This window comes from Homo sapiens, chromosome 12 (genome assembly GCF_000001405.40).
Source record: "Homo sapiens chromosome 12, GRCh38.p14 Primary Assembly".
NCBI lineage: Eukaryota > Metazoa > Chordata > Mammalia > Primates > Hominidae > Homo > Homo sapiens.
Window position 1 is genome coordinate 71758702 of NC_000012.12, and position 25447 is coordinate 71784148.

At 36.5% G+C, this 25447-nt stretch overlaps 1 protein-coding gene across 2 annotated transcripts in view; it reads left to right on the forward strand.

Annotated features, from left to right (window-relative positions):
• RAB21 (RAB21, member RAS oncogene family) overlaps positions 1–25447 on the forward strand; it is a 45424-nt gene that overhangs the window by 3839 nt on the left and 16138 nt on the right. The window contains exons 2-6 of one of the 2 annotated variants that reach the window (NM_014999.4): positions 11099–11158; positions 11891–11998; positions 15258–15321; positions 23330–23384; positions 23869–23957. In NM_014999.4, the coding sequence (NP_055814.1) occupies positions 11099–11158; positions 11891–11998; positions 15258–15321; positions 23330–23384; positions 23869–23957 (376 nt within the window). Of the gene's footprint in view, positions 1–11098; positions 11159–11890; positions 12002–15257; positions 15322–23329; positions 23385–23868; positions 23958–25447 lie in introns of those variants that run through there. The other variant, XM_047428541.1, reaches the window with a different exon arrangement.

Consider the following 25447-nt stretch of genomic DNA (forward strand, 5'->3'; position numbering starts at 1 on the left):
ACTCTGAGCTCAAGCAATCCTTCTGCTTTGGCCTCTTGAAATGCTGAAATTACAGGTATGAGCCACTGTGCCTGGCCCTTTCACTATTTTGAATCTCTTCTAGGCACTATGTAATCATTGTCCTTTCCTTAAAGTGTGATTCCTTGAGCTGTAGAAATAATTCCAGGTGTGGTGGTTTGAACTGAACAGAGAAGTGCAGGCTGTCACCTCTCCTGTTGAGAATCCTTTTCCAACACTGAAGTAGAAGAGATTCTCTGAGCTTTTAGGGAAGCTCTCAGAATTTCTCTTTGATAAATATTGAATTTGCTGTCAACTGAAACATCTTAGTCTTAATTGCTTCAAAAAAAGGCATTATTTGTATCTCTCAGATTCTCTTTTCTTTGGTATTGTAGTTAAGCTTTTTCTTTTGTTTCTAATATACTTGACCCATTAAGGTTGGCTTTGGTAGATTTGCTCCAATAGTTAAGCCTGTTAATGTCCTTTTTAATTTGGATTCTGTAATTCACAAAACACTGACTGGGCTCCTTTGGGCCAGGTACTGGGTTGGGTCCTGGACATGGCAAAGAATAAGGTGTGGAATCTACTGTCTGGATTAGCTACTTTTTAACTTTGTCATCTGAAAGTTAGGTAAGAATGCCTTTAATGTTCTCAACAGGTCATTATTAAAGACTATGAAAGAAAGCAGAGAGAGAGGGCCAAGTGCAAAGCTCTGCAGCAAGTTTTACTGTAGTCCAGTGATACATGACCAGAAGTGCAATTTTCTGTAGACATATAGAATCTTAGGGGCTTTTTTGGGCCATGCATGGGCCACAGGCCATCCCCTCCTCCTTCCCTTGAGTAAGAAACAGTTGTTAATGGAGTGCTATACATATTAATGATAATGGAAGACTGACTGCTATGGGCTACTACCTAGTGGACACAAATCCCTTAATAAAATGTAAACATTTACTCCAGCATTACAGTTCTCCTTTTTGCCCAAGCTACATCTGTCTTGCCCACAAGGTTATCATGAGATGCTTTGTCAAATTCTTGCAGAAGACAAGATAGGCTGTGTTTCTGCAGTACTCAAATCTATTAGGAGGCCATATAATGTGGTGAAAAGAGAAAGGACTTTGAAGTTACACTGGGGTTTGAATTCTTACTCCCACTTCATAGCCATCGTGATCCTGACAGGATATTCTAATGCCTGTAAGCAAGCTCCTTTTCTTTAAAATGGGAGTACCTTACTCATAGGACTTTATGTGGATTATTACATAGACAGCCGTCATATGTAAAGCTACTAGCACAGAGCCTGGCACATGTTTGTTTAATAAATGTTTGCTGTTTGATGTTAAATGAATAAATGATGCGGGATTTATGTTTTTCTTTCATGGCAATTCAGTCAAAAAGGGTAATGGGATTATTTTCACATGAATTATTTTGAGAACTCATGCTGTCTCTGAGGGGTCATTATATTTAAAATTGCTTATAGGTTAAATATTTTTAAAACAAAGCAAATCCATTCTAGTGTTTTCACTGAGATCTACATTTCCGGAATTCACTTTCTTTTTTTTGTTTTTTAATTGTGACATTTGCCATACTTTGGTGTTTTAGTGTGGCTCTCTTTTTCCAGAGCTGCTCCAAGGTTACTGATAGTTACGGAGTAATCCTGTACGTAAGCTCTCTTAACTTATATAGAGTCCCCAAGCTCTCGTGTGATTTCCTCGCTGATTTGAGGCTTTGATAAACTTGGGAAAAATAAGAAAGACAATTGGAGTGAGGGAGTTACTACTGTTTCTCTGGAATTTACGAAGGCAATACTGTTGAATCTATGCAGTTAAATTCAAGAAACGTTTATTTTATACTTGGTATATGTCAAACATTGTATTAGCTGGGGAATATAACGATGAGCAAGGTACTTTAACTATCAGTTACTTTTCTTGACTTTATTCTTAAAGGATTGTGCCATTTTGGTTTTAACCACTTCCTCAATTTGGTGTGCCTTCTTTATATCTGTGCTCCTGGGTTATGTACCCCTTTTTTTTTCCCTTATTGAAGGTGCTTATTGAAGATTAATCAAGATCAACAGTCCCCTTTCTTTTTAGAGTCCCAACTATAGAATTCTGCTTGCCTCCTGAAGTCTAGGATAGGTGTCTGGGTGAATAACAAAGTAGTGCTGTAAGGTTGGCTAGGCAGGTAGTATCCTAACAGTTTGGCAAATGAGGAAACTAAGACTTGGATTTGGCTGGGTGCAGTGGCTCGCACCTATAATCCCATGCTTTGGGAGGATGAGGTGGGAGGATTGCTTGAGGACACAAGTTCAAGACCAGCATGGGTAATGTAGCAAGAGTCCATCTCTAGTTAAAAAAAAAAAAAAATAGCTGGGCATGGTGATGCACACTCATATTCCTGGGTACTCAGGAGGCTGAGGCTGGTGGATCACTTGAGCCTAAGAGATTGAGGCTGCAGTGAGCTATGATTGTGCCACAGCACTCCAGCTGGGTGACAGAGTGAGACCCTGTCTCTTAAAAAATGAAAAAGACTTGAATTAAATTTCCAAGGTCCCACAAATAGAAATGGTGTGCCAGCTGGGCATAGTGGCTCAGTAATCCCAGCACTTTGAGAAGTGCAGGCAGGAGGATAGCTTGAGCCCAGGAGTTTAAGACCAACCTGGGCAACATAGTAAGACCCTGTTTTTAAAAAATAAAAATACAAGGGCCGGGCATGGTGGCTCACACCTGTAAGCCCAGCACTTTGGGAGGCTGAGGTGGGTGGATCACCTGAGGTCAGGAGTTCAAGACCAGCCTGGCTAACATGGTGAAACCTCATCTCTACAAAAATACAAAAATGAGCCAGGCATGATGGTGGGTACCTGTAATCCCAGCTACTCAGGAGGCTAAGGAAGGAGAATCACTTGAACCTGGGAGACAGAGGTTGCAGTGAGCCAAGATTGCACCATTGTGCTCCAGCCTGGGCAACAGAGCAAGACTCCATCTCAAAAAAATAAAAATAAAAAATAAATAAATTTAAAAAATAGAAATGGTATGGCTTTTTTGGCCTAGTCTACTACTTCTTAAAAGAAAATTTATTTTATTTTATTTTTGAGACACTTGGCTTTTATTTATTTTTTAAACACACCTTAACCTGAGCAACACTTGGCATTCAGGTTGTAGCAGTGGTTTTACATTTTGCATCATAGTCTTGGTCTAGGAATCTTGGTTTCTTTGTTTGCATAAAGAATATTTTGAGTGTTCAAAGTATTTTGTAAGTATCCTTGAAAACCATATTACTGTTAATTTAAGTGATTTATTATAATATCTTCATACAGTATAATAATTGAAGTTCTTTTAAAATCTTTTTCTGCTTAGTATTTAATTAGTATTTTATAGAAGTTTGGGTGATTTTACTTAAGAAATGAGTTTTTGTGAATGTGGCCACAAATTTCTATATCTGACTGCCATTTTCTGCTTTGTGCTTTGAGTTACTCTTTAAACATGATTCTTTGACTTTCCTTTTGAAAGTCTTTATTTGGACTCCTAAACTAATTATAATCCTTGTTTTTAGAAACTAAGAAGAAATGTGAAAATATTCAAGCACCTAGCTTAGGTTTTGTTTTGTTTTGTTTTGTTTTGTTTTGTTTTTTGAGACGGAGTCTCGCTCTGTCGCCCAGGCTGGAGTGCAGTGGCGCGATCTCGGCTCACTGCAAGCTCCGCCTCCCAGGTTCACGCCATTCTCCTGCCTCAGCCTCCCGAGTAGCTGGGACTACAGGCGCCCGCTACCACGCCCGGCTAATTTTTTGTATTTTTAGTAGAGACGGGGTTTCACCGTGTTAGCCAGGATGGTCTCGATCTCCTGACCTCGTGATCCGCCCGCCTCGGCCTCCCAAAGTGCTGGGATAGGTTTTGTTTTGTTTTTTTCCTGAGATGGTGTATCGCCCTTTCGCCTAAGCTGGAGAGGAATGGCACGATCTCAGTTCACTGCAACCTCTGCCCCGTGGATTCAAGCAATTCTCCTGCCTCAGCCTCCTGAGTAGCTGGGATTACAGGCGCCCACCATCACGCCTGGCTAATTTTATATTTTTAGTAGAGATGGGGTTTCACCTTGTTGGTCAGGCTGGTCCCGAACTCCTGACCTCAGGTGATCACCCACCTCAGCCTCCCAAAGTGTTGGGATTACAGGCGTGAGCCACCATGCCCGGCCTAGCTTAGTTTTTTGATAGCTAATTTTTATTGCCTTGCTAGAGAGGGCTAATTTTATAAATTAACCTGCCTGAATTCTGTCATCTCTTAAGTATGGAAGTGGTAATGCTTTACTCATTTATTTTTTTATTTTATTTTAAAAATTAACAAATAGTTGTACATTATTTAAATACTTAAGCCTGCACCAGTGTTAGCAACTAGCAAGAATATTTATTTTGCACGCACACACACACACACACACACACACACAATCTTACTATCTTACTCATACACTCCCCAACGGCAGGCCCCCAATTAATGAAGTCTGTTGAATTTAGTTGATACTAGATAAAGCCAGGAAAGTATTTGTTCACAATGTAGTTACTATGTTGCTTTCAACAGATACCTTATAATTATCAAATACTACTTTAGGTGGTTTGCTTTGACAGAACGGTAGTTAGCAAGCACAGCAAATGGTCCCGCTAACAGAGAACCAAAAAATTGATTAAACAAGTTATGAAAAGACTTTAATTTGGCAGATATATTTTTTCCCTGTTATTTCTCTCTTATAATCCTTTTTTTAAGTTTTTAAATTTTTAATTTTTTTCCTCCTCCCTGTGATTACCTGTCGATTTTTTTTTAAATAGCATTTTCTTTTTTTGTCTTCCACTATGATAGCCACTGAGCTGTTGGATAAACAAGAATCAGGTGTTAATACAAGTTACAGATGACAACATGAGCTAATAAGATTGTTAATTTTGTAATATCACTAAAGCATAGAAGGTGAAATAATTGAGATTAGAAGATGTACTGGTGAAATAACTCAGGATTTGAAGGAGGTAGGGTGGAGAATGTGCCATAACTTACATGGATCCTTGCTAGTAATACTTTGTGCCTACCCTGAGAATATTTGGGGAGGTTAGGGTCCAAGAACACTTACTGTCCAAGTGGAGGAGTGCCAGATTAAGAAATGTGTGTATGTCCTAGAATAGTTAGCTTTGTGCAATGGAAAAACCATTGTGGAGTCAGACAGGCTTCCACCCACTGCAGCACCCAGCTGAGCTGTCTGACCTTCCGTGAATCACTGTATTTTTTAAAAAAAATCAGGTTCACAGCTGTAAAGTAAGGATAAATATCTACTTCACAGAGTTGTTGAAAATTAAATGAAAAAGCCCAAGCACAGTGCTTGGCACATAGTATGATTTTTCTCCCCTTCCTATAGTCCTAGAACCTTTTGAATTGGCTATTGTTTAATGTTACTCTCCCTCCTTCCGTTTGTGGACTGGGAGTTCTTTACTGAGATGTTGCCAGGCATTTATAAATCTCTTGGAAGTACGTGGGAATTGTTTTTAGTATGTGCGTATGAGTGGTGTTCTGGGGAGTGAGTAGGTTCATGGATTTCTTCATATTCTTAAAGAAGTTTATAATTACTTCTCCCCCCTCAGTACCATGTAAGAATTAAGAACCACTGCTCCAGAGTAATTATTATAACTACAGTGGTATCTCAGTAGTCTGGCCAAATTAAATGTGCCTAGTAGAGGTGGTTAAAAAAGAAAAGACAAATTTCAGCCTTTTGATTGTTTGCTGCTATCTTTTTTTATAAATTTTTATTTTTATTTCAATAGTTTTTGGGGTATAGGTGTTTTTTTGCTACATGGATAAGTTCTTTAGTGGTGATTTCTGAGATTTTGGTGCACCTGAGCAGTGTACACCATATTCAATATGTAGTCTTTTATCCCATACCCTCCTCCAAACCTTCCTCCTTGAGTACCCAAATTCCATTATATCATTTCTTACACCTTTGCATCCTCATAGCTTAGCTCTCACTTATAAGTGAGAACGTACAATATTTGGTTTTCCATTCTTGAGCTACTTCACTTAGAATAATGGCCTCCAGCTCCATCCAAGTTGCTGTAAAAGACATTATTTCATTCCTTTTTATGGCTGAGTAGTATTCTATGGCGTATATATACCGCATATTCTTTATTCACTTGTTGGTTGATGGACACTCAGGTTGGCTCCATATCTTTGCAGTTGTGAATTGTGCTGCAGTAAACATGTGTGCATGTGTCTTTTTCATATGACAACTTCTTTTCCTTTGGGTAAATACTCAGTAGTGGGATTGCTGGATCAAATGATAGATCTATAATGCTTTTAGTTCTGTAAGTAATCTCCATACTGTTTTCTTTAGTGGTTGTTCTAGTTTACGTTCCCACCAGCAGTGTAAAAGTGTTCCCGTTTCATCACATCCACACCAACATCTATTGTTATTTTGACTAATTATGGTCATTCTTGTAGGAGTAAGGGGTATGTCATTGTGATTTTAATTTGCATTTCCCTGATAATTAGTCATGTTGAGCATTTCTTCATACGTTTGTTGGCTGTTTGTATATCTTCTTTTGAGAATTGTCTTTTCATGTCCTTTGCCCACTTTTTGATGGGGTTGTTTTTTTCTTGCTGATATGTTTGAGTTCCTTGTAGATTCTGGATATTAGTCTTTTGTTGGATGCTTAGTTTACGAACATTTTCTTCCACTCTGGGTTGTCTGTTTACTCTGCTGAGTATTTATTTTGCTGTGCAGAAGCGTTTCAGTTTAATTAGGTACCATTTATTCATTTTTGTTTTTGTTGCATTTGCTTTTGGGGTGTTAGTCATGAATTCTTTCTCTAAGCCAATGTCTAGAAGAGTTTTTCCAATGTTATCCCCTAGAATTTTTATGGTTTCAGTTCTTAGATTTAAGTCTTTGATCCATCTTGAGTTGATTTTTGTATAAGGTGAGAGATGAGGATCCAATTTCATTCTTCTACATGTGGCTTGCCAGTTTTCCTAGCACCTTTTGTTAAATAGGCTATCTTTTCCCAAATTTCTGTTTTTATATGCTTTGTCGAAGATCAGGTAAGTGTAAGTATTTGGCTTTATTTCTGCGTTCTCTATTGTTCCATTGGTCTACGTGCCTATTTTTATACCTGTTTGTTGCTATCTTGATGTTTCAGCTTTCTTCTTAAATATATTCATAATTTTATTTTTTAAAAAAGTTTTCTAAAGTTTTTTAAAAAGAGTTCTCCCTTGAAGAAAATGTCTATAAAATATTAAAAACTTAGGATTTATATCAAATGAGATGATTTACGAAACAGAATCTTTCCATAGAGCAGGGCTTAAGTTTTTCATTATGAAGGAAAAAAATATTTACTAGGGATCCTTTGATAATATGCTTTACTAGTGCATCATATATATGAGTTAAAATAATTTGATTAAGAAGGAAACTTAGGAGCATATCTCCTACTAAATTGAGTTATACCTGCATTGATTTACCTGGGCATATTGTAGATGTGCTTATCTATAATAACAGTATTTGATTGTCAATTATGGGCAGGGTACTATGACTTCCACCCACTTCTTCCACAAGAGTGGAAGTGTTAGAGAGCTCAGATCTCAGTCTGAGAAGTATCGTAGCATAGTAGTTATAATTAATATCTGGAGCCAAACTGCCTGGGATTTCAAGTGGCACTGTGTCACTTACTGTGTGACCTTGGGCAAGATATTTACCCTCCTTATGCCTCATTTTCCACATCTGTAATACATGGGTAACAATTATCTCTGACTCACAGGGTGTTATTGGCACCTGAGAATTAAGTGAATTAATATTTGAGAAGCTCTTAGAACACTGCCCATTTCATTGTAAGTGCTGTAGAAACGTTAAATAAAAATATGTAGTCTAGTTAACAGAATACTTATACCCATGAAAAGATAATTTATAGTATAAGACAGTATAAGCTGCAGTAAATGCAGAGTTGATTCCCTAAAATTCTTCAGGCTAGAAAAATTTGTGTGCATTGCGTGCATGAGTATAAGAGAACATGAAATTTCAAGGAAAAAGAGCCATATTTGGATAGGTGGAATTCAGATAGAGAACAGAGAATAGGCTCAAATTAGAGTGGAATTTTATGGACAGAAGAATTGAAGAGGATGCAAAAAAGCCATATAAGTTGGAGAATAAGTAAAGAAATATTGGAAGCTGTCCTAAGAAGATAGATGTGGACACGTTGTGGAAGTCTTTGGATATAAAGATAAGGCTTTGAGACTTTTAATTGTAAATGTGGGCTCCCCAACTTTTATAAAGAAGCAGCTTATGAATGATTTTGTGAAAAGTGCATAGCACAGTACTTGGCACAAAATAAACATTTAATAAATGTTAGCTAGTATTAGCAGCAGTAGTAGAAATGACTGTGTAGTGTTTTTACTGCATGGATGGCTATTTTTGTGAATTTTTAACTACTTACCTATTAATGAACACAGATAATTTCATTGTTTTTGTTTTTCTATATAATCAGTGTTGTCATGTGTACCCTTTCCGTACAAGTGTTTTTGTGTATCCATAGTTCCTTAATGGAGACTTAATACCGTCCTTTAAATTTGCCGTGGGAGAGTGGTGGGAAATTTCAGAGGGGATGGTAGAAAAGAAATGAGGCAGCTTTACCAACTCTGATGCACTCCCTTCTTCTGAGAAATCTCCACAACACTCATGACCAAAAGGTTATGATATTAGCTGTCAGCAGGGATGTTCAAGCATACTTATTAAAAATGATAACCTGTTAGGGAACCCTTCGATGAGTTGTAAGTTGTTGTTGTGGGGTTTTTTTTGTTTGTTTTGTTTTTGTTTTTGTTTTAACCAGGGAAGCTTTGGGAAGATAATATGGCATGCAGAGCGGGGTGTAAGGTGAACCAGAGGTATTTATGTTACGATATAATAAGAGACTGGTGGTCATAGACCCCAGAGGAAATGTGAAGACAAGGCTTGGTAGATTTTGGAGGCATATAGACTGACAAGGGCTTAAGAAGATATTTCCAAGTTTCTAAACTTCAATGAGAAGGCGAATGTGATCAAAATACTAAAGTCAGAATGAAAATCCAATTTTGGGGAGAAGATCGGTTCAGTCTTTCTTACATGTGTTTGAAAAAGAGGCACTTAAATTGACCTATCCATTAAATATTCGGATAGGATTCAGATTTTGTTTTTTTTCCATGTGGCATTGATATTGAAACCATGAAAATGATTGAGTTCAAATAAATTACACAGCTAGTATGTGGCAAAGCTGAGATTCAAATCCACAGGTTCTGCTCCAAAGTTCATATTCTTAGCTCCTATGCTAGCATGAATGGGAGAAGACATTTATTGTCATAACATGTATTTGGTCTTCTCATTTTTCAGGTTACTTTGCTGTTTTGGCATTTAATTTTTCTTCTTTTCTGTATAATTTTTATTTTATTTACAAAATATCTTGAGGATAGCTTGGGCCTTGAAGGCAGACATACATGGGTTTGAACCCAGCTCTGCCATTTATATTTATCTGTAGACTCCTTGGTTAATCACTACATCCAGTGGCCTTTTCTTAGTTCTAATTTTCTGTGGTGTGCCCATAGCAAAAAGACCTTCCTGAAATTGAGGTAAAAGAAATCTCAATTGTTTCTTTCCTTCAGTAATTCACCATCCTGACCTTTTATCTGTTTCACCTTCTTTGCACTTTCTTCTATATAAATAACACCTAAATGTGACTATCTCTATACAGGTCTGAACTCAGCTCTCTATTCCTTTTTTTTAAACACGTCAGCTGACTCTGGATTCTGGATATATTTTGTCTTCAGTAACTCTTGATACTCTTCTTTCTTTCCTATCTTCATGGTCTTAGTTCAGATCTCCTTTTTTATATTTTTCTCCAATTTTGTAAGTGTTCTTTCTACCTATCTTTTCTAGTCCAACCTCCCTTCCTATCCCAGGGTCATTCTCTTAAAATATAGATCTGTTTCCCCATTGCTTGAAACCATTCAGTGATTCTCCCTTGTCAGTAGTCCTGTTTCTTCAAACAGTTGTTCTTTAGGATGAATTTGGTATTTTTCCAGGAAAAAAAGGTTCAGTGCTATACAGAAGAAAATCAGGGAAAAAAAGTTCAAATGAGTTTGGGAAATGCTTGTATAAATACAGTCAGCTAGCCTTCCTTTTGGCAGCATCCTAATGTGTTAATGTGCATTGTTGGTGTATAAAAATCAATACATAGTATTTCCAAAGTATACTTGACGTGTGTGTGTGTGTGTCTAAATACATGTCTGGTGTCTTAGAACAGGTTTTGTTGAGACCCACAAGGTAAAGTCCATCTGTGTAGTTTCATCTCTGGTATTGACCATACCCACTTGGAGTTCCCTGTGGGATGGAGTCATGTGTTTGAGGCTTCAGTGGCTTCACTCATCTATCAGGAACAGTCCCTACTGCTCCTAAAGGGGAGATCATTACCTTCTCTCTGAAGCCTTCTTTGACTCATTCAGACAACTGTTATACTTCCTTTCTCAGTACTATCTTTACAGTGTATTTGGCAAGACCCTCCATTTTAGCAATTATCACATGGAATCGTAATTCTCTTTATTTTTATTTCTCTAGTAGAGTATAAAGGGTAGAACCGTGTCCCTTCATTTCTCTGACATTAATACTTAGGATAATTATTGAATATATGTTAAACAATTGAGTTATGAAGTAACTGTGGAATCATTTTGAATAATATTGATATTTGTACATTAAGTAAACCACCAGTAAACATTTATTTTATCTTAGAAATCTCTTAGACTCTTTCTTTCTGTGATAAGGTAGCATCAAATTAAATGCTCTAGGGAAAATTTTGTTCCACATAGATAAGGAAAAATATTAAGAAAAAAATACTTATTTTCTGTGTGTTTTGTATAACCTATTTTCAGAAAACAAGATTTTTTTTTAGATAAAAATGTAAATAATGTCTTATCTTTAATGAAACAATTTCGATCATTAATTTAAAACTCGGTGATTACTTTTTCTCCCAGATAACTTTTACATTGAGATGATTCATTCATCTATAGTTGTTAGGATAAAGAACCTTATTTTATAAGAAACATTGTTTAATGTTTATTTCTCTTTTTAGGCATCATTCTTAACAAAGAAGTTAAATATTGGTGGGAAAAGAGTAAACCTTGCCATATGGGTAAGTGAACTTTTTCAACTATTATGCGTGGAGGCTTCTTCCTTTTTTCTTTTTTTTTAAAGTTAATTGGAGCTTAGCCAACACTTTTTTTTTTTTTTAATTAAAAAGAATCTTAAAATCTGGTTGAGAATTATATCTGGAATATAATTGTATATTTGAATATTGCTGTCATAACTTTTCAGTTGGAGAAGGGTCAACTCAGAGGGGTTCCACTTCAGAGAGAGGACAGGGTGGGTGGACAGCTTGCCTGGCCTTTTTTTCCCCACCCTGTGTCTCCATATTCCAGCCTTCTAAGAGAATGGCTGGTGGGTGAGGATAATGCAGCAGATACTTCTTGACTGGTGATCTTGATGCACGTGCCATTTCCCTGTCTCTCCCAGTGTGGGAACTTAAACTTAGGGCAGAGCCTATTCCTGGCTTATAATACTGTGTTGGTTGTTTTGACCCTCTGGCAACTGAAACTGGTATTTTAATGGGGGTGGGGAAGTGCTGAGGAGGAGGAAGGTTGGGAGGGAAAAAGTAACTTTTGTATATCACTAAAACATTACATATTGGTCATAACTTAAAAATTTTGTGTGTGGCCTGTTTTGCTGTTTTGTTTCTGTTAATAGGGTTTTGTGGTTGTCTTTGACTTTATGCCATATTTTCCAATTAATCAAAAAGTTCACCATAGTTGCAATCGCAGATTTGTATTTTTCTTCTGATCTAATAAGCATTTGTTGCTTTCTTTAGGATACGGCAGGTCAAGAGAGATTCCATGCATTGGGTCCAATTTACTACAGAGATTCAAATGGAGCGATTTTAGTTTATGACATAACAGATGAAGATTCTTTTCAGAAGGTATTCTATTCATGGGTAGATGTCTTAGAAGAACAATAGTAATTTTTCAAGTTTCCATTAATATACCTTTATTCACTAATGTGATTAGTTTTCTTTTTAAAAATAAAGTATATAATTTGTGCATAACTGGTGACCACTTACATTTTATTTTTCTTTTCACCTACAACATGGTGGTGTACTCATATGTTTAATGAAATATTTGATTCATATGAATTAATTTACGTTAGAATAATTAATGCCTTATTACATGGCTTTCTCAAATATTAGGGAAGGGAAATATTTGAAATTGAGCTTCAGAAAAATATGGGGGCTTTTGTTTTTCCCTCTTAAGGAAAAATCACACATATTTCCTTAATTCCATACGCATTGGGCTCTTAAACTTGGTGTGGCTGGACGGGTTCCTTTATTGTGAAGAGGAAAAAGGAGGAACAACATCACATTTAAGCTTTCTCCTTGCCAAATATAATAAAAGTTTTAAAAGGACAGTCTTAAAGTTATCTCATTAGTTTACTTCCCTTCAAAAACACACCACATACGTATGACTCTTAAAGTTGTTTGGGACCAAAAATGAGTTACCATTTAATTACCTCTGAATTTTCATCACAATCAGATGGGTTACTTATTTGACCTTTTCTCCTAAAGCTCTTCTTGGAATATGTCAACAATGTGTAACTACAGGGAATAATGCCAAGGAAGAAGCTTTTCTTGCCTTGAGTTACAGGCTTGTTCTTGGTAAAATTACTTACCTTGTTTGTTTTGTTTTTTCTCTTTATTTTTTTTCCCAGTTAAATCTGATAGAGCAGATATACAAGTTAGCCCTTGGGTTATTAATGATAAATGGAAAAACTTAATCCAAAAGTAGAAAATGAAACGATAGGTACCTTGTAGATTTAATGATTTTTAAAAGTTATTTTGGTGCTGCTGTTTGTTATCTCCCTCTCGCGTTTTGCATGAAAAGACATAGTTTAAGTATTTTATTAAGAGAAGATTGAGGCCAGGCACAGTGGCTCACGCCTGTAATCCCAGCACTTTGGGAGGTCGAGGACAGCGGGTCACTTGAGGTCGGGAGTTAGAGACCAGCCCAGCCAACATGGTGAACTCCCATCTCTACTAAAAATACAAAAAAATTAGCTGGGTTTGGTGGCACATGCCTATAATCTTAGCTACTTGGGAAGCTGAGGCAGGAGACTTGCTTAAACTGGGGAGGCAGAGGTTGCAGTGAGCCTAGATCGCGCCACTGGACTCCAGCCTGGGTGACAGAGTGAGACTCCATCTCAAAAAAAAAAAAAGATCGAGTCATTTAGGTTGAAAGGGACCAGTTGTCTACTACTGTGTAACAAAACCCCCAAAATTTTTGACTTAAAACAATAATTTATTATTTCTCATGATTCTGTGGGTTGACCAGGCAGGTCCACTGCTCTTTGTGATGTCACTGGAGTCACTCATAGAGCTGCACTGAACTGGGAGTTTGGCTGGAGCTGGAATATCCAAGAAGGCCTAGTTCTCCATCTGGCCTCTCACTATATCTGGTGTGTTATCATCCAGTACTCTCTCTATGTGCTCTCTCATTATTCTGTATTCTACCTTAAGCTTTTTATATGACAACTGGATCCCAAGAGTTAAAAGTAGAAGCTACCAGGCCTTCTTAAGACTTAAGTCTGAGATTGGCACAGCATTACTTCTGCCACATTCTCTTGTCAAAGCAGGTTACAAGGCCAGCCCAAATTCAGAGGGTGGGGAATTTGACTCTACCACTTAATGGGAAGATTAGCAAAGAATTTGTGACCATCTCTAACTCAACAAAAATGTATGGGGGTAAAGAATAGATAGAGTGCTTGTGGAGGGGTATCTAATTTGAAATGACTAACAAGCTTTTTTTTAAAAAAATTGATCAGATTAGTAGGTTGTGATACTATATGCACATGGAAGAGAGGGATACGTAATTGGATTCTGCTGTGTTTCTTTTGAGGTGGTGAAGATGTATATTTTATGCCAATTGTATTGGCATAAAATTTTAAGTCAAATTTTTCTTATGTGAAATCAATAAAGTGGAAGTTAAATGCTTTGAAAACTTTGTACATATATGTGAATGAAACAAAAAGGTGGGGCTATACTGAGAAAACTGTCATTCAGTGCTGTTATAAAGATAATGTGGTGATGATAACTACCTTTGCTTTTATAAGGATTTTGGGTTGCCAAAGATAGTTCCTCTTCATTCTGTAGAGAATAGGAATGGGGAAGTGTTACATTTGTACACCATAAGACCAGATGCACAGTAAGTGGTTACCACATAGCTAATGTAATTTTTGGAATTTACAGATATATGTGTATTTTTTCAGGAGGTTTTATAAGTTCAGTGTGATTTGATTACATCCAGATTAAATTTCATTGAAAAGAATGAAGGCAGGTGTCCAAGTTTGCCTTTTATTCTGTTATTATAATCAACATTTAAAATCATGAGTTCAAAAGATTCATCTACTTAATTCCAGTTTACTGCCAACTGTGTCTACTACTATGCTTCACTCATACTGGAGAATCAGTTCATAACTGGAGTTACTGTATATCATTGGTTCTCTACCGGGGATGGCAATGCCTGGAGACATCTTTGGTTGTCACAACTGGCGGATGCTCTTGGCATCTAGTGGGTAGGAAGTCAGGGATGTTACTAAACATACATTGCACAGAGCAGTGCCTCACAACAAAGAATTATCTGTACTAAAATGTCAGTATTGCCAAGGTTGCAAAACCCTGTCGTACACTAAATGATTGAATTATTTTAGCACTCTAATTTTTTTTGGTGCTTATATACATTTTTTTTTCTTTGTCTTTAAGTGTGTGACACTGAAGCTCCTTTGCCCTCTATTTAGGAATCAATTAGGGTATAAAAGACTGTTTTAAACCCATATGTTCCTAAGTCCAAAGTGACACTGTTATCTATATTGTTAAAGCATCTGTTATCAGAAGCTGGAGTTGATATGCTTTTGCTCTAGTGAATAGCTTTGCTTGGCTCTGTGGAAGACTGATGCAAATTTATAATTAGAGTTGCTTCTGTGTATTTTTCCATTGTATGTTTATATGTATATAGTTTGCAATATAACCTGGCAATAAATGATTCTTCAGTGAATCATTTCTAGTAATAACTAAATAATATAGACTCTTAAAATTCTGAGGTATTTTGACAGTGTTGAGTTTTTTGGGTGTTGTGATAGTAGTAATTCCAACAGGATTTGTTTTAATATGTGCTCTTTTGTATATACAGGTAAAAAACTGGGTCAAAGAATTACGGAAAATGTTGGGAAATGAAATCTGTTTATGTATAGTTGGTAAGCATCATTACTTTTTTCTAAAAAAAAAGTCCTCTGTTTCCTTAATGTTTTATTGAAGACAAGTAATTTTTGTTTTAAAGTTATATGAGAAAGGAAGAATGGCATATTAATATAAATATTTTAGAATAATTTAGGATTTAGCCTGGTGCAGTGGCTCATGCCTGTAATTCCAGCGCCTTGGGAGGCCAAAGTGGGTGGATCACTTGAGGTCAGGAGTTCAAGACCAGCCTGGTCAACATGGCGAAACCCTGTCTCTCTAAAAATACAAAAAAAAAAAAAAAAAAAAAAAAAAAGCCAGACAGTGGTGGCATATGCCTATAGTCCCAGCTACTTGGGAGGCTGAAGTGGGAGAATCACTTGAATCCGGGAGGCAGAGGGTGCAGTGAGCCAAGGTCGCACCATTGCACTCCAGCCTGGGTGATACAGTGAGATTCCATCTCAAAAAAAAATAGGCTGGGCACAGTGGCTCACGCCTGTGATCCCAGCACTTTGGGATGCTGAGGCAGGTAGATCATCTGAGGTCAGGAGTTCAAAACCAGCCTGGCCAACATAGTGAAACCCCGCTCTAATAAAAATACAAAAATAGCTGGGCGTGGTGGCGGGCACCTATAATCCCAGCTACTTGGGAGGCAGAGGCAGGAGAATCACTTGAACCCAGGAGGTGGAGGTTGCAGTGAGCCAAGATCACGCCATTGCACTCCAGCTTGGGCAACAGAGCGAGACTGTGTCTTAAAAAAAAAAAAAAAAAGAATAATTTAGGATTTAGAAGTGATTTTCCAGGAGATTCAAACTCTAAGGAATGCCTTGGGGAGCAAATTGGAAACTAAACAGTTGGGGCTTCAAGTTTCCCAGCCTTGCTTCAATTTGACCTTTCTTTTTCACTGTATGATTTTGCTTAGAAAAAAAGTTTAGTAACTACTTTAAAATAAAATTAAGGAAATGACTTCGGCTTGTGTTCTTATTCTGTACATTTAACTATACATTTTTGAGTAATGGTCAGATTTGGCCATAAGGATACAAGTAGATCATGATCCCAGGGTGGAGGAATATTCCTAATGGGTATAAAGGAACTCTGCAACTCACTTTTGGACTTCTGGAATTTCTCTTTGGTTCCCTTTTTCTTTAGATTATTATTTCTGTGATATCACAAGTATTGAACAATAAAAGTATACTAAACACTGTGCTGTGTACTCACAGACATTATCTCATGTAATCCTCATAATCCTATGAGGGTTTTATAGAGGAAGGTGAGTCCTGGAGATAATAACTTGCCCAGTGTCAGGTAGCTTTCAGAGATGGGATTTGAAATGAAGTCGTTCTGACTCTTAGGTTACTAATCCTTAAGATGTATAGCCTCATGCTGTTTTCTCGCTTTCTTTCTACATACCTGATAATATTAAAAGCAATATGGGAGAAGCCAGGGTAGGATCATTTCAGTGGAAGACAAGGGTAGTATCTGGGGAAATGAAAGAATGGAATGGTCAGTTTGGGCAAATTCTGCTTTTAGCCTTAAGAATTTTTTTTTTCTTGAGACGGAGTCTCGCTCTGTCACCCAGGCTGGAATGCAGTGGTGTGATCTCAGCTCACTGCAACCTCCGCCTCCTGGGTTCAAGCGATTCTCCTCCCTCAGCCTCCCGAGCAGCTGGGACTACAGGCACGCACCACCACGCCCAGCTAATTTTTGTATTTTTAGTAGAGACAGGGTTTCACCATATTGGCCAGGCTGTTCTCAAACTCCTGACCTCATGACCCACCCGCCTCAGCCTCCCAAAGGGCTAGGATTACAGGCGTGAGCCACTGCACCCGGCCAAGAATTTTTTTTAACTTGAGTTTACATTTCTTATCTCTTGCCACCATTACATTGGTAGCTTTATAGTACCAGATCAGGGGCAAGTCTTGGGGGAAAAAAGCGAGATGATTTCCCCTGCGTTTTGGTCTAGATGCTAGATGTTAGGCTAGGCAGGAATATTTCAGACTGGAACACTGAAGTAGTAGGCTACTTGGAGATTTGGAACCAAAGCTACAGCTAATCAGTACTGAGTTTTGTGTAACTTTGTGTGGTATATGGACTTACTAGGAGTGGAAGTGGCCACAGTAGATGAATGACTGAAGATTTAATATTTTGGGATTCTGATCATCTTTCTGAAGATAGAAATTACTAACACATACATAAAGTCAAGGAAACCCCAAGAGCTTGTTACTTGACCAAGGTCACAAAGTAACATTTAAAAAATCATCTAAGTTAAACAAGCTCATGAATAGTTTAAAGTGTGTTTGTTTTTTTTTAATGTTCAATGAAGTACCTTTTATGTTGCCCCTCTCTAAAAGTTGAAGGCATAACATTAAATTGAACCTCAGGGAAGATACTTTCACTGGAGCATCAGAGAGAGTGGTTGCCAGATAGTGAATTGGTTTCTTTAAAAATGTTTATATAGTGTATATTTTTAATGTTCATATTATAAGACGTTTTAGGAATATTGGATCTGGTAGCCTATTGCCTCAGGTAGGGTCAAATACCCCATTTAATATTATATAATGTTTATTAATTATTAGTGTGAAGTATAGAAAGCTCTCACTTTCTTCTGTTGACAAGTGTGACATGGAATTTTACTTGGAATTCAGAGTTGGGAGAATTCTGAGAACTTAGGGACTGATTTGAGTAATAATAAAACTCCAGTCTCCCGTTTAAAAAAAAAAAAAAGAATTCTGAGAGCTTATTTACTACTTTTCCCAAACTTATTAGGATAACTTAAAGGATTAAAAAAAAAGTATTTTGGGCCTCGTTACAGATACACTAAATCAAAATCTCTATGGATGGGACTAAGAATTAATTCCTTCTTTTCACCCCATCTTTCTTCCTTCTACAAGTATTTTTGAGTGGCTTCTTTGTACCAGGCACTGTGTGCTGTTAATTCTGATTTAGTGTACATACACGCTGGTGTTGGAGAACAACTTATTTTTTCTGACACAGTGCAATAAACGAATTTTTCTTCACATTTAGCTGAAATCATACTCCCTGTATCCTTCACTTAACTGATTTTTAAAGTGAGTTTTTCATTATATGTACAGAAAAGTGTACAAATCTTCAATAACATAATTTTCACAAAATGAAAATTGCACGGTGTAAGCAGTACCTAAGGACCCTGAGTTGTGTTGCTTTTTCATCCCAACACTCACAGTTGTTTTCCCCTCACCATTCCCCACCCCCGTCACTATCCTTTTTACTGCATGAATTAGTTTTGTTTTGAATTTTATATAAATGGAATCATATAATATTAACTCTTTTTGGGTCTGGCTTTTTTGACTTTACATTATGTGCCTACGATTCCTTTATGTTGTATATAGTTGTTCATTTTATTCTGATTGCTGTCTAATACTTTAATCTATGAATACTCCACAGTTTATCTGTTTTGCTATTGATGGACATTTGCATTGTTTTTCCCACTTCTTGATTTTTATTCTCTGTTGTAGTAGTTCAGTGTTTATTCTCTCTTCTGTTTTATTAGTAACTTTGAAATAATACTACTACTTCTCAGGGTTATGATGAAGATTATATAATGATTTGAAAAATACTTGGCATAGAGGTAAACATTTGACAAGAATTCATTCTTTTCTCTTTACATAAGATAACCTTTCAAGCATTTGAAGACTACTTAAACGGCTCACTTTAAGTCTTAAATTCTCTAGATCAGCTGTTTTTTTATGTGGCCTACCTTCCAGACATTCTGATCATCCTGATCATTTTCTCTCCTAGGTTTATTTTATTGTGTCAGTATGTCTCCCACACTTGGAAATAAACCATAGAATCCAAATGTTGTTGAGCTAGTATGTTCTTATAGACCCTGTCTCTCTCCTCACACTGGCCTTCTATCAGGATTGCCTGAGATTGCTTAAATTTTTTAGCAGACATGTCAACTAGTCTCTTTTACATAGGTTATAGTTATCTAAAATCTCAAGTCCTTTTTTATAAGTATTGCTATTCAGCCAGATGTTTCCCAGCTTGTTCTCATGTAACTATTTAAAGCTAAGTAGAAATTTCAGTTTGTCATGTTTTTGAATCTTTATGTTTGATATACAGTCTACTAGCATTTTCATGTGTAAATTGAATACTTAACCTCCTAGATCCTTATCTAAGTCCCTGATATCCATGTGCTAACCAGTAATAGAGAACCACATGTTTCAATAGCAGAGACTTTTTCCTCTAGGTTGTCATTAATCCATTGATAGGCACCCTTGGCTGTGGTTGATAGTATTCTGCATCTAGTCTATCCTTAATATTTGTATGTTTCTTGAACAAATATTTATTATTAATCGTAGTCACCATTTACTGAGTGCCAGGCACTGTTTTAAGTACACATTTTTTACTTCATTTAAGCCTCCTGACAATGCTGAGGGGAAGACCATTTCATTTTACAGATGAAAAAATGTGCTTAGAGACCTTGAAACTTCCCAAAGTCACATAGTTTGTTAGAAGTAGACCTGGGATTTTAACTCAGATCTGCCTGCCACTTCAAGCCCATATCCTTAATAAACACTTCATTGCTTACTATGTGCCAGGCTTTGGGAATAGTGTAGTGAATAAGTAAACAAAATAGATACGGTTCTTGTCCTCCCAGAGTCTCTTGTGTGGAAAAAGAGAGGAAAACAAGCTACTATTATATGTTATAATAAATGCTATGGAAGGGAAATGCAGAATGGAGTGCTATGAGAGCACAAAAGCAAACAAACTAGATTTGGGGTGCAAGGGGGAGATAAGGGAACATTTCCTAGACCAAGTGTTGGATAAACTAAGTTAGCTAGATGAAGCCAGTAGGATGATGGTAGAGTGCGTTACCTGCAAGGCGTGGTGGCTCACCCCTGTAATCCCAGCACTTTGGGAGGCTGAAGCAGGCGGATCATTTGAGGTCAGGAGTAAGTTTGTATTACCTGTCATGGACTTTAATTGTCTTACAACAATATTGACTTTCCATTTGATCATTCACTGTGATGAATGTCATTAATATTAATAACTGTTCCTTATTGAGCATATAGTATATGCTAGGCCTTTTACATATATCTTATTTTCACATCAACCCTGCAAGGTTTGTTAGCGACACATGCGTACAGTGAGACTAACAGAGGTTAACTAATTTGTCCAAAATATTACAGTTATGGCCAGGCGTGGTGACTCTGGCCTTTAATCCGAGCATTTAGGGAGACCAAGGTGGGCAGACTGCTTGAGTCCAGGAGTTTGAGACCAGCCTAGCAACATGGCAAAACCCCATCTCTACAAAAAAATACAAAAATTAGCCAGATGCGGTGGTGTGTGCCTGTAGTCCCACTCGGGGCTGAGGCAGGAGAATCGCTTGAGCCCGGGAGGTGGAGGCTGCAGAGAGCCGTGTTCACGCCACTGCATTCCAACCTGAGTGACAGAGCAAGACCCTGTCTCAAAAAAAGGTAAAACAAAAAAAAAATTACAGTTATGGAGTAAGCAAGGACTTAAAAACAAGTTTTATCACATTTAAAAGCTTTCTGAAAGCTTCTTTCCACTGTGCCCCACAACCATTCAGTCTAAGCATAATATGATTCTAGTTCTATATCATTAGGCCATTTGCCCTTAGCAGTGGACATGCCCCTTCTATGTTCTTAATTCAAATATGTATTTTTAAGGAAGATCTGCTTAACTTAGAGGGTAGCTTTTTCCCTCCCTTTCCAATAGTGTCAGCCTATTTGTTTATGTTTTTAATTCTTTATAGTACTATACTTTTAAGTAGGTGCTTGCTTTGGTTATTGTCCTTGTTTTCAGGTGTTTTAAGCCTATCAGAAAGTTCCGTATGTAGCTGCACAGTAGTATTGAAGCAGATATGAGTCTCAAAGCCTTACTCCTTAGCTGTCTTGCTTTTGAAAAAATATAGAAACTAAAAGGGTTTTTGAGCTTTGGAAAGAGGTCAGTCACTAGCCAGTCAGGTTTCTGCAATGTATTCTGTGCTGTCAATCCATTGTGAACACTGATTATTCAAAGAAATAATAGTTATTTAGATTTAAAATATTTTAAGTTTAAAATAATAGGTTATTAAGATAGCTATTTATTAATGGCCTGATTTATTAAAATTAGTCATTTAAAATATTATCAAATAATAAAGCAGTGTCTGAATTATTTCTCCTAAATGTTCATTTGAGGCAGTAAGGTGATTGCCTGCTTTTCCTCTCTTCACTCTTTTTATAGGTATTGATGATATTGATGGAATTTGGAACATGAGCCATTAAATACCTAGAAAAAAATTCCATAGGGTTTTAGGTAATTGAAGCAAAATTAATATTGCTACTTTTAGTAGGAGACTATCTTATTTTGCCTTTGTGAGGCAGAATCTTTTTCCTGTTTGTTGGAGCCACTGGCCACCAGGTGGTGCTTTTTGCATTCTTTACAGAATAACACGACGGTTTTTCCTCTGGTTACTGTCAGACATTGTCATATTTAGCTAATTAAAATTTCCAATGACAAATATAATGTAGGAAGTTAGAACTAATATGAAACTTCTTGCTGTGGTAGATAGCTGTTCAAAGAAGGAAGAGTTTGTTACTGAATTTGTTGGTATCCACTGAGCTTTAGTGTTGTCTGCTTCCCTCTCTCTGATTCTTAGGCTATGGTGGCAGATAGTTTCTTGCAGTTGCCAGCAACTAGGTTCTCAGATTATTCGAGGTCCTCAGTATATAGAACCTTTGGACTTGTCCACCTCAGTGCTAAACATTTTATCTTTTATTGGGTGCTTATTTCAATGCCTTATCTGAAATTTATCTGAAATTGTCTCCTAGAATCTATATGGTTCCAAGAAAAAAAGTAACCTTATTTATAAGATTTCTCTTTTCTCCCTAAAAGCCATAGTAGAAGAATAAAAATGTTTGTTTGAAGTGTCCTTCCATAGGGTATTTTTCCTTATCGTTATCTACTGTTTTTATTACCTTTAGCACTCTGGGTGTCCAGCCAACTCATCTTAAGTTCAAGGAATCAGTATTTTGCAGTTTCTTCATTTTTGTTCTGATGGCTTTTTTTAAAAGTATAATCCCAGCTTGGTTCTGTTGTTTAAGGAGAGCTAAACTTATAATTTAAATCTGCATGATATACATATATTAAGTTTTAATAACTCACTAAAATTGTTTTTTAAACAAAGAATACAGTTTTTCCGGCCGGGCGCGGTGGCTCAAGCCTGTAATCCTAGCACTTTGGGAGGCCGAGGCAGGCGGATCACGAGGTCAGGAGTTCGAGACCATCCTGGCTAACACAGTGAAACCCCATCTCTACTAAAAATACAAAAAATTAGCCAGGCGTGGTGGCAGGCACCTGTAGTCCCAGCTACTCAGGAGGCTGAGGCAGGAGAATGGCGTGAACCCGGGAGGCGGAGCTTGCAGTGAGCCGAGATGGCGCCACTGCACTCCAGCCTGGGTGACAGAGCGAGACTCCGTCAAAAAAAAAAAAAAAGAGAATACAGTTTTTCCCCTTATGATTGTGGAGTACTTAAAAATCTGTACACTTTAATTTTTACTTTAACTGGTTTATATCATCCAGGAAACCAAAATACTTGTAGGATCCAAGAGGCTAGATTAATATATTTTAGTAAACACTAAGATAGCCATACTTATTGACCGGCTCTAAGTTAATGGGAACTGTAGAAAATTTTGCTCTTACTTTTGATCATTTACACTTGCCTAAGAATCATAGGTTTATCTCTAGGTCTCTGGTATCCCCCAAAATCAAAAAAGAGTGCCTGTCTCTTTGGAAAAGTTGTTTTCTTTGTCAGAGGCTGCAGATTCAGGAAAGGTATGAATTGAGTCATTTGAAGGAGGATGAGGCATGATCAACCCTCAGATCACAAGGCTTAACTTTATAATTTCAAGACATTAGAAGTCTGGTGGGGATTTGCATTATTTTTGCTGGTAATTAAAATGGCAATTTTATATTTAGAATTGGCTTAATTTTGTTATGAAAATAAATCAGTATAAAGATAAATATTTACTTTTTTCAAAATAGGTAATAAAATAGACTTGGAAAAGGAGAGACATGTTTCCATTCAAGAAGCAGAGTCGTAAGTACTGTGACCCTCCCATTCCCCATCACTCCCTAGTAGAAATCTTCCTCTTTATACGTTTTGCTTTACCATTTAGGTATTACTCAAATCTCTTAGCATGGATTGAGGTGTTGGATTCAGTGAAGCATGTTTACATGGTAATTTCTGGGCTTGTGGCAATAAAGCCCTTACTTCCCTTTTTGACTTCAGTGAAAAATACGAGTGATATAAAACAAAACTATCATGATCAAATAGGCAGTAAGCCAGAAAAACTTTTGAAGTATTTGAGTCCCAAATTAATCTATAAAAATTTCGAGGCTTGTTATATTTGTGTTATTTAAAATTTGATTTAATGTATAGAGAATTTAAATAGCTATATAAACTTAATTTCACTAAACTTGAGTAAATTAATATGTCACTAAAACTGTTACTATAAAAAAGCAGTTAAGACAAAATCATGAATAATATTTTACATCAATCACCGATGTTACTTTTTTTTAAGGTATGCAGAATCTGTGGGAGCAAAACATTATCATACTTCAGCCAAACAGAACAAAGGAATTGAGGAACTCTTTCTTGACCTTTGTAAAAGTAGGTATATTCAGATTTAGTTTGTTTAGAAATGGTTTTTGGTTTTTATTTTTTAAAAAATAGTATGTATTTTACACCAGTGTTACTTTTCAAAGAATTGGTTCTTTTTAAACTATTGACTATTGGTAGTATTTCTGAAGTGCTGTAACTATTTTTTTTAATGCTTAAATACCTACTTTAACCCTGTTTCAAGCAGTAATTAATGGTTATGAAATCATAAGTATGGTGTGGGCTAAATATATATTATAATATATGCATAAGTATTAAAAGTGGAAGGGGAATTTACATATTAAAACAGATTTAAGACCTGTAACAACCTCTTGCAATGAATGGACCTTATTTGGACACTGATTTGTCAAACTAGTGAAAAAGAGTGTTTGTGAAACAAGATATTTGATGATATTAAGATACTATTAATTTTTTAGGTGTGATTATGGTATTGTGGTTATGCTTTATAAAAGGAGTTCTTATCTTTTAAAGACACATTAAAATAATTTAGGAATAAAGTTATGGGTCTGAGATTTGACTCAAAATAATGGTAGGGATGCTTAGGGTTATTCATGAAATTGGGTGATGGATTTTCATTATGCTGTATTTTCTACTTTATGTTTGAAATTTTCCATATTAAAAAGTTTATAGTTTTAAAGAAAAAGGAAAATAAATTTATATATATTCTGAAAATCATTTCTTATATTACCAATAAAATGCATATCTGAGTTTATGGACTTTAGACTCTTTTGAGAATTTGATGAAATCATGGTTTTTCTCTCTAGAAAAGAATATTGATATGTGTGTGTGTGTGTACACACACACACACATTTTGGAATAAATTAGTTTTATAAAACCCTCAAGTCATTCATAATTCTTCTAAAATATTGATTATGTAAGTGATGTCCCCTGATCAGCAGCATCAATATCACTTGAAAATATGTCAGAAATGCAAATTCTTGGGCTCTCCAAGCCTGCCGAATCAGAATTTCTAGGGATGGTGCCCAGAATCTGTGTTTTAACAAACGCTTCATATGATTCCAATGCACACTAAAATATAAGAGCCAATGCTGTACATAACAACTTGGGGATCTTATTAAATGCATATTTTGATTTAATAGGTGTGGGATAGATTGAGGTCCTCATTTCTACAAGCACCCAAGTGGTGGTGATGCTAGTCATCAGGATATCCTCCTTCCTTACCTCCCTCCCTCCCTCCCTTCCTTCCTTCTGATAATGCTTTTAAATAACAATGCACTAAGTCAGTGGCTTACAAATGTTATAAATATCACATCTTCAAAACAATTTTTGCATGCTCCACATGTTTATTTAGAAATTATATAACATGTACAAGTACTAATATGTACATTTTAAAACATACCTAAAAAATAGAAATTTTGGAAAGTTAAAAATAAGTAGATATAGAATTTATAATGTTTTCTTATTTCCTCTTGTTGGATTGTCCCACATACCTCAAATTGTAAACCATTAATCAAGAGCAG